The sequence below is a fragment of the Homo sapiens genome, chromosome X (assembly GCF_000001405.40).
Source record: "Homo sapiens chromosome X, GRCh38.p14 Primary Assembly".
NCBI lineage: Eukaryota > Metazoa > Chordata > Mammalia > Primates > Hominidae > Homo > Homo sapiens.
The window spans coordinates 2,709,891-2,726,904 of record NC_000023.11 but is presented as its reverse complement, the minus strand read 5'-3'; the positions used below and the strand labels follow the sequence as shown (position 1 = coordinate 2,726,904).

At 45.6% G+C, this 17,014-nt stretch overlaps 1 protein-coding gene across 7 annotated transcripts in view; it reads right to left on the bottom strand.

The window, feature by feature from the left end:
- The window catches only part of CD99 (CD99 molecule (Xg blood group)), a 50,015-nt gene that overhangs the window by 14,405 nt on the left and 18,596 nt on the right, over positions 1–17,014 (bottom strand). For 4 of the 7 annotated variants that reach the window (NR_135623.2, NM_002414.5, NM_001321368.2 and 1 more), the window contains exons 2-8: positions 12,451–12,483; positions 9,253–9,300; positions 7,200–7,244; positions 6,481–6,549; positions 4,231–4,278; positions 3,541–3,591; positions 532–645 (exon numbers count right to left, since the gene is read on the bottom strand). Coding sequence is in view for 6 of the 7 variants with exons in the window: in NM_002414.5 (NP_002405.1) it covers positions 532–645; positions 3,541–3,591; positions 4,231–4,278; positions 6,481–6,549; positions 7,200–7,244; positions 9,253–9,300; positions 12,451–12,483 (408 nt within the window). In the remaining variant the exon portion in view is untranslated. The remainder of the gene's footprint in view (positions 1–531; positions 646–3,540; positions 3,592–4,230; positions 4,279–6,480; positions 6,550–7,199; positions 7,245–9,252; positions 9,301–12,450; positions 12,484–17,014) is intronic. The other 3 variants (NM_001122898.3, NM_001321369.2, NM_001321370.2) reach the window with 2 other exon arrangements.

The following is a 17,014-nucleotide window of genomic DNA, read 5'->3' as shown; positions in this document are numbered from 1 at the left end:
TCTCGGCCTCCCAAAGTGCTGGGATTACAGGTGTGAGCCACCATGTCCGGCCTTGTGCCGGCTTTTAACTTAACTCTCAGTGGAGAAAGGACCGTGGCGGCCCCCTGGTCACGGCTCTCCTCCTGATGATGACATCGGTTGTAAATAACAGGGCAGGAATGATCAGAGCTAAGTGTCTTCCACCTTTGCTCTCTGCAGGGTAACTTGTAGCGGCTTTCCTGCAGGACTGTCTCTAACCCCAGCAACAATTCCGCGGCATATGTACCAACCATTTCCCACTTGGTAGACGTAAACAACCCAAGCACTGCAGCAGTGGGGAACTTGTAAACTTTCACACAACAAAACACAAGGCAGAACAGCCCTGAAATCAAAGCCAGAAGGTTCGATTCCAGAATTTTAGCAGTTTCACGAACCATCAGCCATCGTGCACCTGTTTCGTGCCAGCCCGAGTTTGGTTTCTGCCTTTTAAAGAAAGCACAGTTTTCCAATCAGCAAGGCATGAAGGAGAGGCACCGGCGGACTGAGACTTACCATTTTCTTTGAAGCATAGCTTCTTTTTCTGGTAAGCAATGAAGCTAGAGATGGCTCCAGCCACGGCGACCACGACAGCCCCCACAATCCCGGGGATCACGCCTGGGGCGTCGGCTGCAGGAGGAAGCACACAGCATCGTGATTGAGACACGCACGGTGCAGAGAAGATCCCAGGGGGCAGTGGCTGGCAGAGACAGTCAGTCTGAGAGCACCAAGATCCTCAGAACATCTCAGACGCCTGAGCTGACCGATTTGCAAAGGAAGCATGCCGAGAATGATACACAGGAAGGCAAAGCAAGGCACAATCTCCCATCGCACGTGCTGGGCAGACCTGGTCAGACCATGGAGGGAGTGGAGCAGGAGAAAAGAGACATGAAGAGAGGCCAGCGAGGTACGGGCAGAAGCTCAGCAGAACCAAGGCAGAGACAAAAAAAGACAAAGACAGATGGAAAGAGAGCTGGGGCTGGGCGTGGTGGCTCACGCCTGTAATCCCAGCACTTTGGGAGGCCGAGGCAGGTGAATCGCCTGAGGTCAGGAGTTTGAGACCAGCCTGGTCAACATGGTAAAACCCGTCTCTACGAAAAATACAAAAATTAGCCGGGAGTAAGGGTGGGTGCCTTTAATCCCAGCTACTCAGGAGGCTGAGTCCAGAGAATCGCTTGAACCTGGGAGGCAGAGGTTGCAGTGAGCCGAGATTGTGCCGCTGCACTCCAGCCTGGGCGACAGAGCAATTCACCATCTCAAAACAAAACAAAACAAAAAAGAAAGAGAGAGCTGGACATCAAACCTGGAGGAAGGAGCCCAGGCAGGGGCAGAAGATAAAGAAGCAAAGACCTGCAATGCTTGGGGCATTTGCCAATGCGTTTTGTATCGTTAGAATGCTCCTTTTTCACCCCTTGAAGATAGCTTTGGGTTTCAATGCAGACATTTTAAATCTATCTCTATTTAATTAATTATTATTATTGTGTATTATTTTGAGATGGGTTCTTGCTCTGTCAAACAGGCTGGAGTGCAATGATGTAATCACAGCTCACTGCAATCTCAAACTCCTGGGCTCATGAGATCCTCCCACTTCAGCCTTCCGAGTAGCTGGGACTACAGGTGTGCACCACCATGCCTGGTTAATTACTGTGGTTTTATAGAATTGGGGTCTTGCTATGTTGCCCAGTCTGATCTCGAACTCCCAGCCTAAAGCAACCTGCCTGCTGCCTAGGCCTCCCAAAATGCTGGGATTACACGCATGAGCCACCACACTCAGCCTTTTTTTTTTTTTTTATGTTATTCCAGCAATAATTCTTTTTTTTTTGGCGGGGAGACAGAGTCTTGCTCTGTTGCCCAGGCTGGAGTGCAGTGGTGCGATCTCGGCTCACTGCAACCTCTGCGTCCCGGGTTCAAGCTATTCTCCTGCCTCAGCCTCCCAAGTAGCTGGGATTACAGGTGTGTGCCACCACCCCTGGCTAGTTTTTTTTTTTTTTTGAAATGCAGTCTTACTTTGTCACCCAGGCTGGAGTGCAGTGGCACGATTTCAGCTCACTGCAGCCTCTGCTTCCCGGGTTCAAGCAATTCTTGTGCCTCCCGAGTAGCTAGGACTACAGGTGCATGGCACACGCCCAGCTAATTTTTGTATTTTTTGTAGAGATGGGGTTTCACCATCTTGGCCAGGCTGGTCTCGAACTCCTGACCTCAAGTGATCCACCCACCTTGGCCTCCCGAAGTGCTAGGATTACAGGTGTGAGCCACCACACCTGGCCTAATTTTTGTATTTTTTGTAGAAAAGGGGTTTCACCATGTTGGCCAGGCTGGTTTCGAACTCTTGGCCTCAAGCAATCCTCCCGCCTCAGCCTCCCAGAGTTCTGGGATGACAGGCATGAGCCAGCGTGCCTGGCCATTGAAGAGATTATTCATTCCAAATGCCAGATGTGAGCTTCAGAGGACCCTTCTCCAGATAGAATCTTCTCCGCCCTCCACGACGGGGAAGGAGAATTGTCTGACTTTCAGCAAAAACACTGGCTCCAAACATGGCCTGTCGGTGGTGTGTTCACTCGGCCAGTTTTTAATATGTGCAGGACACAGTCATGTCATAGAAAGATTTTTCAAGCTTAACTACCCCTCCCTGATGAAGTGACATAGTAGACATTAACTCTCTAGAAGGCCAAGAACGATGGCCTGAGATAAACATGCCAGACATGTGTTTTCTTAGCTATTTTTTAAAAAATGACCTTGTAGTCCTAGGTGAGGGCTACAGATTACTACCTCTTCAAAGAAAGCCTAGAATTCAAGAACTGTACCCATAAAAATAATAAATACCTAAAACAAGGGTAGACTACCCACTTTTCCTCCCTTCCTTCCTTCCCTTCTTCCCTCCTTCCTTCCTTCTCTCCATCCCTCCTTCCTTCTTTCCTTCCCTCCTTCCCTTTTTTCTTCCTCCCTACTTCTCTGTTTCTCTTTCTTACCTCATTTTGTTTTCTTTACAGTTTTAAAAGGAATTCTGTCTGTCATTATTTTCTTGTCCCATCTAAGGGAAAAGGTTATGAAAAAGGAGACAGGAGATACATCACCGGCACTTCCATGGAGAACACAATGCCTGTTACAGCCAGGGTGGAAGCGATCCACATTCCCACCTCCCACCTGGTTACTGACGTTCTCAAGGGCCAAGCGCAACCGAGGATACTGCGTCACAAGCCTCTGATCGTTAGGGTGAGTGTAGGAGCTTTTGTAAACACAAGGACAAGGCGAAGCGTGATGTAGGGGTCGGGTCGCCAGCCAGGGCATCGTGGGCAGGTGACCAAACATAAAATCCGCGTCACGTGGGCACCCGGAGCAGGGCTGGTTTGCTGGGGGACCTCTGCAGCTACATCACTTGGGAGCACTTGGCACAGAACACCCGTGCCTCCTGCCAGTAGCTTTAGGAGGCCAATGCCAGTGCAGTCCGCCAGCTCTCAGACATTCTGCTTCCCCTTCTCAACACCACGTGGGAGAGACAAGAAGACAGAAGCCAGGTGCACCTACCCTCTTCCCCTTCTTTCCTGTGGCTGCCTCCACCATCACTGCCTCCTTTTCCTGCAAGACAAAAACAACGTCTGCAATGGGAAGGTTTGGGGTCAAGGAAAAATTCACAGCCAGGACCGTGAAGAGGCTGGGGTCCTGCTTCTTACACTCTACGGGGGTACATGTTACCCAGCTACAGAGCTGGGGTCCTGCCTATTACACTCTAAGGGTGCATGTTACACAGCTACAGAGCTGAGGTGCTGCCTGTTACACTCTAGGGGTACTCTGAGAACGCATACTCCCAGGCATTATCACTATTCTCAGGGCTTTAATATTCACATTCCTTAAATTACAGAAAACAGCCTAATAAAATGAAGCTGAAACAACACTAGTTATTTGCAAGAACACACAGGTGAACGGATGGGTGAGGAGGTGGTGACAAGGGCCCATTCATCACGCCCTGTCCCTCAGAAAAGTGGGGCAGCTGCCTGGGCCCTGAACTCTTCTCCGAGGACCGAACCTCTACGGGGCAGCCTTTACTTCCCACATCCTTGAAGCCTCAGCAAACAGGCGGAGTTCCCACAGAGATGGCTGAACATTTCACTGTGAGTTCACAGAGAGCTGACAGTTTAGACCCTGTAGTGATTCTACAGAGCAGGTGGGCATCATGGGATGGAGAGAGAAAAGAGACAGAAAACAAGATAACTGTACCTTCTCCACCTGAAACGCCATCCGCAAGGTCAGCATCTGAAAAGCTACCTAGGAAAGAAAATACAGCATCACCTGTCAACCTGGAACTCCTCCAAGGGTCTTCATGTCTTAGAATAAAGGAAAAACTCATGAAAACCGGCCTGTTCATCAACATGGTGAAACCCCATCTCCACTAAGAATATAAAAATTAGCTGGATGTGGTGACAGGCACATGTAATCCCAGCTACTCGGGAGGCTGAGGCAGGAGAATCACTTGAACCCTGGAGGTGGAGGTTGCAGTGAGCCAAGATGGCACCACTGCACTCCAGCCTGGGCAAGAAGAGCTAAACTCAGTCTCAAAACAAAACAAAACAAAAAACCATAAATAAAGTGGAAAAACGTGAGCATAATATTGCATGCTGGCAATATTTATGTCTGTAAATAAATGAAGAAGGCTTATAAATCAATAATGTCATATCAGAATGTAAGAATAAAAGGCAAAGCATACAATACACAAAATAAGAAGTATCCACGGCCAATTGATGCAGGTTTGTTTTTTTTTTTTAATTTTAAAAGTAAAGTCATGAAACCAGGAGAAAGTTGATAGAAAATTTCACACTATTTGCAAAGGTTTCCTAGGTGATAACTAATATTGGAGATGGTGTGAAGACAGGGACATTTGCACACACCCCTGGCATCAAAATAAATTGGTAAAAATCTGCAGCAAATTAACAACCAGGTCAAAAGCTACGAAAGTACTCATATACGTTGATCTAAACTATTTGAATGCTAGAAATGTCTTCAAAGGAATAAAAATAGCGCATGGAGTTGACTCAGATTTGCTTTGTTAATTCATAATTCTAAAATGCCAGAAGAAACATAACATTTTCAGAATTAGGGATTAGTTACAGGAAGAATATAATTATATATGTAGTATGTAATAGTACATGATTATCAGTAAAACTCATACGATAGAAATGATTACATGACATGAAAAAATGTTCATGGACTATCAGTAAGCAAAAAGTAATGTTACAATGCAGTACAAACAAAAGACTTGGAACTTTATTTAAAATTTATTTCATTTAGATTAATATATAGGCTGGGTGAGGTGACTCGTGCCTGTAATCTCAGAGATTTGGGATGCTGAGGCAAGAGGACTGCTTGAGGCCAGGAGTTTCAGACCAGCCTGGGCAACATACTGAGACCCCACCTCTACAAAAAATGAAAAAACTAACTGGTCACGATGCTGTGTGCCTGTAGCCCCAGCTACTTGAAAGGCTGAGGCAGGGGGATCTCTCTAGCCCAGGAGTTGGAGGCTGTGGTATGCTCTTATGTTTAATATGATCACAGCACTGTACTCTAGCCTGGACAACAGAGTGAGACCCTGTCTCAAAAAAGAAAAAAAAAAGATATATAAAATACTAGCACAAATAGCCATCAAAATGTCAACAAGATATGGACATCATTAATATTCTTCTGTGTTAAAAATTAAATATGTAAACAAAAAAACCTAAACATATAAACTTTCGACAACCATTCAGCTAAAAAAAAAAAACTGGTGCTATTCGAATTACGCTGAAAATGCTGTGATATGTCAGAAAAACTGACTTAAATATTTAAGGGCAGAAAGATTTAAAACACACTAGCTTCTCCACAAGGAATGTGTATGCCAATACTTTTCTCTTTATCAAGTCTACATTTAAATTATTGTATGCAATTTTTTAGAAGTTCCATAAGATGGAACTTGGAAACAAAAGTAGCAAACTAGTCCAGGCACAGTGGCTCACACCTGTCATCCCAGCACTTTTGGGAGGCCAAGGTGGGTGGATCACTTGAGGTCAGGAGTTCAAGACCAGCCTGGCCAACATGGCAAAACCCTGTCTCTACTAAAAATACAAAAATTAGCCGGGCATGGCAGTGTGTGCCTGTAATTCCAGCTACTCAGGAGGCTGATGCAGGAGAATCACTTGAACCCAGTAGGTGGAGGTTGCAGTGAGCCAAGATGGCACCACTGCACTCCAGCCTGGGTGACAGAACAAGACTCTGTCTCAAAAAAAAAAAAAAAAAAAAAAGCAAACTAAAAATAAAATCCAAGCTAAATATATATTTTTGAAATGTACATTTTCCATTACATGAACATGGGCATTACACTGCACAGGCAGTCAACAGTAAGCACACACTCATCTGAAATCACCTCCTCTCAGCTGACATAAATATCGCTGAATTCTGAACAACATGAAGACATCCCACAGGGTCAGAGACTCTTACCGGAGGAACTAGGGTGGTTGGGGTTTGGATTTGGCATCGGTTTGGGTGGGTTCGGTGGTCGTGGGTCGTCTGTTTGTGAAAGATGAGAGTTGCAATTTTAAGTGCCTTGCAGTAAAGAAAATGAAACATCAGTTTACACACAGATGGTTCCCTGAACAGAAATTGGACCTTGGCCTTTGTCCTGGTGGGGATACCTGTACACACACAGTCTCCTGCCAGTTTCCTCCCATCAACTTTCAGCCACAGTTCTTAATGTCAACTATGTTTAATAAAAATTAAAGCGGGTGTCCACACCAGCTACAGAATTTCTAGGGCCAAAATAAAAAGGTGGGACCCATTTTTCAAATTTTCTTAAGTATTCCAAGATGGCGGCAACAGAGCAGTAAACCAGTATGGTTCCCATGCCAAACCAACATGCCATGGGGTCCTGTGCCACTGCACAGGTCACATGCTGGTGAAGCCAGCCCTGGCCAGGGTAGGCACATTTGTCTCATGTCCTTCCAAAGACTGTAAGAGTTTTAAAATAAAAGCACACGTACTGGTTGTAAAGAAAAACCCAACGACAACAGCAAGAACAAACCGACACACCTATTCCCTAGGTTTCCACTGTGAAAACTGGTTCCCTTTATAATTTAAATGGGAGAATTCTCTCTGAAATGATCATAATTGGGTGATAATAAGCAGATCAGCAGCAGAAGAGATTAAAGGAAAATACTCACCATTTTCTCCATCAACAACAGCATCTCCTAAGTCAAAGTCATCCCCTAAAAGAGGGGAAAGAGCAGTTAATACCAAATTCCAGAGAGAAACGAGGAAGGAATGACCTCGTGAACAGATCAAAAACACACCACGGCCCCACATTCCTAAATACTTTTCTGAATATCAGCTTGACCAGGATCTCATTAGAAAAAGTGAATTCCTGACCATTTTTACATCACTATTCTCTCAGATAAAAAGAGGAAAAAACAGAGAGACAGAGACAGATAAAAAGCTAGGAGAGAAGCTCTCAGAGGAGAGGCAGTGGGGAGAGAGAGAGAGAAATAAAGTAATTTATAAATGAATTGTGTTGCCTGGACCAAGTTGAAATTCCAATTCTGCCTGCACATGATTTTCTCCTGTTGACTCCCCATCCCATCATCCTCTCCTCCCAGGTCCCTAACAACTTTGGAAAGGTAGACCCTAAGAGAAGGGGACAGATGACTGTGATCAGATTTAGGCTAGAGGGTGTCTAAAACATGGCTCTAGCAACCCATATGTGCTCCGCAACTGATGTGACAGTTCACCATGGCCTCAGATCTTGTCTTCTAGTATGAAGAATGATTTTGAAAACCCAACTAAGATGGAGGAATGGTTGCTGGCATCCACCCAACAGCATGTACTGAGCCATCCTGAGTGACATATGGGAATTTCCAGTCCCTTCCTCAAGGAGACTATGATAGTATAAATTCAGACGCTCAACACCTACTCATTGGTGCTATCTGCATGATTGCTTAGTTCAAGGATCTGGGGACACAGGGTCCCTTTGCTCATGAGCTGACACTCTAGACAGGAAGCCCAATAATGAAGTGGAGCTATTAATGTTTTATATTAGAAAACTCAGAAGTGCTAAGACAAGACAGTGTCTTAGCTGTAAGACACTGATGCCATAAGTTTTAGCATCATTTTTACTCTGTTTATCCGCCAGTGGGGTTGACCCTTGGGCAATTCCATCACGTGGACCTCGTTTCTGACTTTTGTTTGAAAGAACAGCATTGAGGGCTGGGTGTGGTGGCTCATGCCCGTAATCCCAGCACTTTGGGAGGCCAAGGCGCGTGGATCACAAGGTCAGGAGATCGAGACCATCCTGGCTAACATGGTGAAACCCCGTCTCTACTAAAAATACAAAAAAATTAGCTGGGCGTGGTGGCCGCTGCCTGTAGTCCCAGCTACTTGGGAGGCTGAGGCAGAAGAATGGTGTGAACCCAGGAAGCGGAGCTTGCAGTGAGCCGAGATTGCGCCACTGCACTCCAGCCTGGGCGACAGAGCGAGACTCCGTCTCAAAAAAAAAAAAAAAAAGAAAGAAAGAACAGCAAGCACTGAGAACAAATGAGGTGTGTGCCCACAGGTTGAGAGATGAGTTCACTTGTTGGTCATCATGGGGGAGATCTCAGCACCAAATGCTCTCTCTCCTAGGAAGTTGAAATCTAAAGACACAGGCCGTGCATGGTGGCTCACCGCTGTAATCCCAGCACTTTGGGAGGCAGATTGCCTGAAGTCAGGAGTTCAAGACCAGCCTGGCCGACATAGTGAAACCTCGTCTCGACTAAAAATACAACAATTAACCAGGTGTGGTGGCTGGTGCCTGCAGTCCCAGCTACTGAGGCATCTGAGGCAGGAGAATCACTGAACCCGGGAGGTGGAGGTTGCAGTGAGCCAAGATCACACCACTGCACTCCAGCCTGGGAGACAAGAATGAAACGCCATCTCAAAAAAAAAAAAAAAAAAAAAGGGAAGAAAATCTAAAGACAGAGTAACTCAGACCCTTAGAATAAAAGCACACAGAGATGTTGTCCAAATGGCCCCGAAACATTTCACATCAGCAACCATTCTTTTACTGGAATCACTACATGAAATGTAACATCATAACACAATTCCAGTATTAACTATTAACCAGACTCCAGCCGGAGCACTCAAATCACTTCTGTCTTCTTTCTAGTTGCCTAAGTCCCGTCCTGCTGTCCGAGAAAATGATTTGCTCTTTTTCTTTGCATACTAGGAAGAAGCCCTTCTCACCAGCACTGGGTTTCTTGGGGATTGCAGTGGGTTTCTTGTTTTCATTGTCTAAAGAGATAAGATATTTCAGTTAGTAAAAGTTGCAGCTGGGAAAACAAGTGTCAACTCTTTTGTGGTTAAGGATGTTTCATTTTCTTGGAAACAGTCGGAGAATGTTTTTAGCATTGTTTTTTCTCACCTGCCCACACCGAGCTGAGGTTTATACAACGACTCTTGAGCCCAGAAGACAGACACAGAGGCTGCTACCGGCCATGGTTTCCACAGAGACCAGGAGCCCCTTCTCCACTTCTTTTTTTTTTTTTTTTGAGACCAAGTCTTGCTCTGTTACCCAAGCTGGAGTGCAATGGTGTGGTCTCCGTTCACCACAACCTCTGCCTCCTGGGTTCAAGCGATTCTCCTGCCTCAGCCTCCCGAGTAGCTGGGCTTACAGGTGCATGCCATCACTCCCGGCTAATTTTTTGTATTTTTAGCAGAGATGGGGTTTCACCACGTTGGCCAGGTTGGTCTCGAACTCCTGACCTCAGGTGATCCACCCACCTCGTCCTCCCAAAGTGCTGGGATGACAGGCTTGAGCCACCGTGCCCAGCCCTTCTCCACTTCTTGACGTTGAATGGGACTATGACTGAGACATAAGCCAGGAAGGCAGGAGAATGGCAAAGTTAGGAGAAAAACTGCCCTTTTCAGAGCCCGAGATCTATGCATGAGAAGGAGAGACACCGGATTGATGGCTGAAAGGCTGTTCACATTTCTCATATGAAACACACTTTTGGCCCCGTCAGGCCTCTGCCTAGGCTGCCCCCTCTGAGAATGGAAGCCAATCAGGCAAATCAGGTGGAGGCTGTAAGACTAAGGGCACCTCCCACTGCAGGGAATGGTTGTTCCCAAGGGCCAAGAAGGGGTAGGTGGTCAGGAAAGAGATGATCCCCATCAGCACTGTTTCCGCTCAAACCATCTGCACTGCACCACAGGACATAAAATTAAAAGCTGGCGAGGTGCAGTGGCTCGTGTCTGCAATCCTCTCACGCCTCAGCACTTTGGGAGGCTGAGGTGGGAGGATTGCTCGAACCCACATGGTCAAGGCTGTAGTGAGACAAGATCCCACCGTGGCACTCCAATCTGAGCAACACAGTGAGACCCCGTGTTGCTCACTGTACCAGGTGAGGTGGCACATGCCTGTAGTCCCAGCTACTCAGCAGGCTGAGGTGGGAGGACTGCTTGAGCCCAGACGGTCAAGGCTGCAGTGAGCCAAGATCCCAACACTGCACTCCAACCTGAGCAACACAGCGAGACAGTGTCTCAGAAAAAAAAAAGTAAAACATAAAAAAGTGAAGAGGGTGGCTGGGCTCAGTGGCTCATGCCTGTCATCCCAGCACTTTGGGAGGCCAAGGCGGGCAGATCACAAGGTCAGGAGTTCGAAACCAGCCTGACCAACATTATGAAACCCCGTCTGTACTGAAAATACAAAAACTAGCTAGGCATGGTGGTGCATGCCTGTAATCCCAGTTACTCGGGAGGCAGAGGCAGGAGAATCACTTGAACCCGGGAGGCAGAGGTTGCAGTGAGCCGAGATCGTGCCACTGCACTCCAGCCTGGGTGACAGAGAGAGACTCCATCTCGGAAAAAAAAAAAAAAAAAATGAAGAGGGCTGTCCTGGGTTGAAAAGCATTCCTCCAAGATCCACACCCACCCCAAACCTCAATAGGTGATCTTACTTGGAAACAGGGTCTTTGCAGTTGTAATCAGTTAAGATGAGGTTATAATAGATTAGGATAGGTCCTAATGACTGGTGCCCTTATAGGAAGGAAATTTAGATACATGGAGACACAGGGAAGAGACCAGCGTTCACAAAGGCAGAGCCTACAGTGATGCAGCCACAAGCACAGGGACACGTGAAGCCCTCAAAAGCTGGGAGAAGCAGGAAGGATCCTCCCCTAGAGCCACCAAAAAGAACTGGATATAACTGCAGTGGATTGAGCAGTGGTCCCCGCAAAAGATATATCTACATCCTAAAGCCTAAAACCTGGTAATGAGACTTTATTTGGAAATAGGGTCTTTGCAGATGTGCTTAAGAGAAGGATCTTGAGATTAGATAATCCTGGAGTAGAGTGGCCCTAAACCCAATGACAAGTATCCTTGTAAGACAAAGAAAAGGAGACACAGACACAGAGGAGGAGGCCCCACGGAGAAGGAGGCAGAGACTGGAGTGATGCGGCCACAAGTCCAGGGACACCTGGAGCTCCCGGAAGCCGCAAGAGGCAGGAAGGACCCTCCCCTAGAGCCCCTAGAGGGAGCATGGGTCTGTCTACACCTTGATCTCAGACTTCTGTTGTCCAGGTCTGGAAGATGATAAATCCCTGTGGTTTAAGCCCCCAGTTGGTGGCACCTTTTTATGGCAGCCCCGGAAAACAAATACAAAGGGATGACAAGACCCAGAAGCTGATAGAGTGATAAGACGGAATTCCTTCAATTCCTTTTCCCATGCCCTTCACCGAGGGCTCTGGGTGAGGAGCGGGAGACAGGAAGAGCTGCAGAAGAAGGAAGGAGTGGCCCCATGGAGACAGCGGGTGCCGATTTCGAGAGGGAGGATGCCAGCACTGGATGCCCCTCTCTCCTGGGGACCTCCATTTGCTCACCTCCTCTAGACCCCTCCCCAAGGACCTGGCAAGTTTTTGCTCGGCCTCTGACCATCACAGGACTGTGAATTATTCCACCAGGGTGGTTCATTTATCTTAACAAGGGCATCTTGCTTTTCCTCGTCATCTATGAGTCTAGTTTTTATAATAAGGCAGGTGGACACATACAGGCGGACCTCCTTCACTGCACTTTGTCTTAAGGTGCTTTGCAAATACTGTGTGTTTTACAAACGGAAGGCCTGCAGCAACCCTGTGGCAAGCCAGACTCTCGGCATCATTTTTTCCAACAGCACGTGCCCCACTTCCTGTCTCTGTATCTGCATTTTTTAGCAATAAGGTATTTTCAATTGGAGTATACTGTTTTTAGAGGTAATGCTATTGCATACTTAATAGACTACAGTTGAGAGTAAACATAACATTTATATGTACTGGGAAGCCAAAAATTGCTATGACTCCTGTTATTGCGGTGGTCTAGAACCTAGCTGGAAATGGCTGGGATATGCCTGTATATACTATGTTAACATAAAATATTGACGGGATTTTAAAAAATGATGTTGATACTCACCAGGAAGGGCATCGGATAAATCGAAACCACCATCTAAGAGAGAAAAAAAGAGTCAACTTAGAAACAAGAAAAATAAAAATAAATTTGAATATTATAGAGATAAAAAAGATATGCGATTTTTCTTTTTGTGATATTTAAAACAGCAACTTAAAAAAATTTACAAGGTGCGTGATTTCTCTTCTCATTCTAAATATTCACTTCCATGCCTAAAAGTAAGAATATGTTAGCCTAGGTTTTAAATAAATGATGACCTTCAAGCTTAGTAGAAATTAAAATAGTGTAAAAACACGATCATTTTGTGTATTATTCTTAACAGGTCGTTCCTTTCAAACAGATGAATAACAATTTTGAATATGTACTGAAAACAACATGGGGAACAAAATTCTCCCTTTTTTATTGGCAACTTTCCTGTAATTACAAACCAAAATATAGTAGAAACACTAGACAACCCAGAAAGACACGTGCATTATGCATTAAAAAAAAATCTCATGGAATCCCACGGAATGAGGAAACTGGCATGCTGAATTATTGATAGGCTACCCTGTTTCTACAGTCTTTAATTACAACAATTTCAATGCTACTTCAACGTGGCTGGCCATCTCTGGCGCACTGAAGAAAAGCCAAATTCAGGAAAATTTGGAAAAGTCGACTTGGACTGTTTGGTCAACTGGAGGAAGAGTTAGGATAATCGTCAACATCCAGCGTCCCCACTCCTCAGCACCAAAGGCATACAACATCTCTCAACCGTCAGGAAGCACCTGGCGGTGGGTGGCGAGGGGTCCAAGAACAACCCGCAGGAGCCCTGTGAACACCGGAAGTGTGTCCAGTTCCACAACAGGTGCAAACGACCAGGCTATGCTCCTGCATGTATAAATGAAGCGTGCATGCATATGTCACAGGGGTATGTGTGTGTGAGTGTGCATGTATATTTGGGCATTTGCAGTGCACATGTATGTATTTGTGGGTTTTGTGTGCATGTATGGGGTGTGTAGGTGAGTTCTGTGTGTGCATATGTGTATGTGTTGTGGGTGCATATAGGCAGGTGCATGTATGTGTGGGTTTGTGTATGTGCATATGTGTAGGCGTGTTTTGTGTAAGTGTGGAGGTGTATTTTGTGGGTTTCTGTGTGTGTAGTGTGTTTTTTGTGTGCATATGTGTCAGTGCATGTTCATGTGGGTTTGTGTGTGCATATGTAGGTGTGCACAGTGTGTAGGTGTGTTTCTGTGTGCCTATGGATGCATGTATGTGTGGGTTCTGTATGCATGTGTGTAGGTGTTATGTGTGCATGTGTGTAGGTGCATGTATATGTGGGTTTGTGTGTGTATGTGTAGGCGGATGTAGTGTGTATATGTGTTTTTCATGTGCATGTGTGCATGTGTCAATATGTTTATGTGTGTAGGTGTGTTTGTGCATGTGTGGGTGTGTGCATTTGTGTGTTTGTGCCTGTGTGGGTGTGTGCATTTGTGGGTTTGTGTGTGTATGTGTAGGTGTGTGTAGTGTGCAGGTGTGTTTCCACGTGTGCATATGCATAGGTGCATGTATGCATGTGTTTGTGTGCACACATGTAGTTGTGTGCACGTGTGTGTATGGGTAGGTGAGTATAGTGTGAAGGTGTGTTTTGAGTATGTACATACAGGTAGGTGTGTCCACGTCTGCTTGTATGTCTGTGTGTGTGTGTACTCATGGCTGCGTGTGTGTTTCTGTGTGTGTCAACAATAAGTAGAAAGTAGACAAAACGCTCGGAACAGCTCTGTGGGCCCCATGCCGGCAACCAGAGTGGAGTCGTTTCCACAACCTCAGAGCCCTGAAATGGCTGTTTCCACAACAGGACACTTGCCAGACATCATAAATGCAATTACAGCTCCTCCTGCAGCATGCGGCAGATCTTTAGACGGTAGCAAGGGAGGATCCTACTGATCCAGAATAAACCATAAGGCAGGTACAGACACACGCACATATAAATATATATATGCACTCATGTTCATATGTTTCCATAGAAATCTGTAATTGTATTTTTTGAAGTATTTTTTTTCTTTATTTACATCTTACCTCGCCTATTTATTTGTGGTGCAAACAGTTCAAAGCTACTGTCTTAGGCATTTTCAAGTATGCAACGCATTCTTACTAACCACAGTCACCCTGAGTACAGTAGACCCCTGAACTTATCCCTTCCTATCTGATGGAAATGTTGTACCCTTTACCCATCATTTCCCCATTTCCCCCACCCCTCACTCCCAACCCCTTGGTCACCGCCATTCCACTCTGCTTCTGTGAGTTCAGTGGTTTTAGATTCCACGTAAGCGTGTTTGGGTCAGACGGTATTTGTCTTTCTGTGCTCGGCTTACTGCACTTAACATCATGTCCTCCAGTTCCATCCATGTTGTTGCAAATGGCAGGACTTCCTTCTTTTTTCTTTTTGAGACAGAGTCTCACTCTGTTGCCCAAGCTGGAGTGCGATGATCTTGGCTCACTACAACCTCCGCCTCCTGGGTTCAAGCAATTCTCCTGCCTCAGCCTCCTGAGTAGCTGGGACTATAGGCGCCCGCCCATCATGCCCAGCTAATTTTTTGTATTTTTACTAGAGACGGGGTTTCACCATGTTGGCCAGGCTGGTCTTGAACTCCTGACCTCAGGTGATCCACCTGCCTCAGCCTCCCAAAGTGCTAGGATGACAGGCATGAGCCACCGCACCCAGCCAACCTCCTTCTTTTTTAAAGCTGAATACCATTCCATTGTGAATATACCCTATTTTCTTTGTTCATTTAATAGCTTTATTGAGGCATAGTTTACATAGCATGAAAGGCACTTATTCTCACTGTGCAAATGAATGGCTTTTAGTGAATGTACAGAGTTGATATAGCACATTTTCTTTCTGCATTCATCCCTTGATGGGCTCTTCCATTGACTGCATGTCTTGGCTACTCCGAATGGTGCTGCAATAAACATGGGAGGGGAGTGTCTCTTTGACATACTGATTTCCTTTCCTTATCCCAAATAAACATATATATATATACACACATACACATACTATATATATATATAATACACACACATACTATATATACACATACTATATACATACATACTGTATATACACATACTATGTATACACACACTACATATATACACACCATATACATACATACTATATATACTATATATACATACTATATATACGAATTATATATTTATACAAATATATATATACACATATATATATTATATATATATAGACTTGCCCTGACTTGCTGGGAATACCCTGAAGGTTTAGAAGTCATCTCTGGGGCCGGGTGCGGTGGCTCACACCTGTAATCTCAGCACTTTGGGAGGCCAAGGTGAGAGGATCACGAGGTCAGGAGTTCGAGACCAGCCCAACCAACATGGTGAAACCCCGTCTCTACTATAAATACAAAAAAATTGGCCAGGCGTGGTGATATGCGCATGTAATCCCAGCTACTCAGGAGGCTGAGGCAGGAAAATCGCTTGAATCCGGGAAGTAGAGGTTGCAGTGAGCAGAGATCATGCCACTGCACTCCAGCCTGGGTGACAGAGGGAGACTCCATCTCAAAAAAAAAAAAAAAAAAAAAGTCATCTCTACATATCTTCATATGTAGATACATTAGTAGAGGGACTGCTAGATCAATTCGTAACTGTTTCAATTTCCTCAAAACTCTCTTCCCCGGAAATGACAGTGCTTCCTTGAAGGCTTACCTTTGTTAGTGCCTCAGCGGTAGACGTGACTTCTAAACCCTATGGGCATTCCCAGCAAGTCAGGGCAAGTCCCCACCCCCTCCACCCCAACAAAGAGATTCCAAGAGTCCATAATGTATTCTTTAGCAAGAAAGACATTCTCTTTAGAAAGGTAGGAAGACTTAATAATAAGCAGACAGAACTGTCAGAATGTTAAAGAAAAAAAAGCAGCAGCAATGACAAAAAAAAACCCCACACGTGAAAGTAAAGTACAGATATTATTTTAAGTGTAACCCTTCTTATTTCTGTAATTTCACCCTCATAAACAGAAGATGATCATAGACACCGTCACTAAAGAAACAAAACAAAGCAACATAGGACAATCCCCTTAAAGTGACTCATCCTTCCCAAGCTTCAGGAAATACTCAGAAACGGCAGTCAAGGGCGTACGAGACTCGGAAGGTTTCTAAGACCAGAGTCTTGTCTTCTCCCACTCCTCGCTCACAGCAGAACCCAGGAAACTCCAGTGTCAGGAGGTGGCCTCCATTCCCCAGGACACCCCACGGCCGGAACACAGTGGTAAAACTAGAACTCTCCTCCCAGGTTCCACCCCACACCCTGCACTCCCATGCCCAGCTGCCTGACACAGAACACGCAATCCTAGCATGAGGACTGCTATATATTTCCACAGAAAGGGCATGTCAGCTGCAAAATCGCAGGGCACAGGGAAAACACAGTATGATCTCGATGCTTCCCTCACATGGGAAATGTCACATGTGGTACACATTTTTTTTTTCAAAGACCCTCCTGGCTTGCTGGGTTTTTGCATCTGTCCCTGGGCCTCAGGGGGGCCATTTGCCCACCCAGGTGTCCC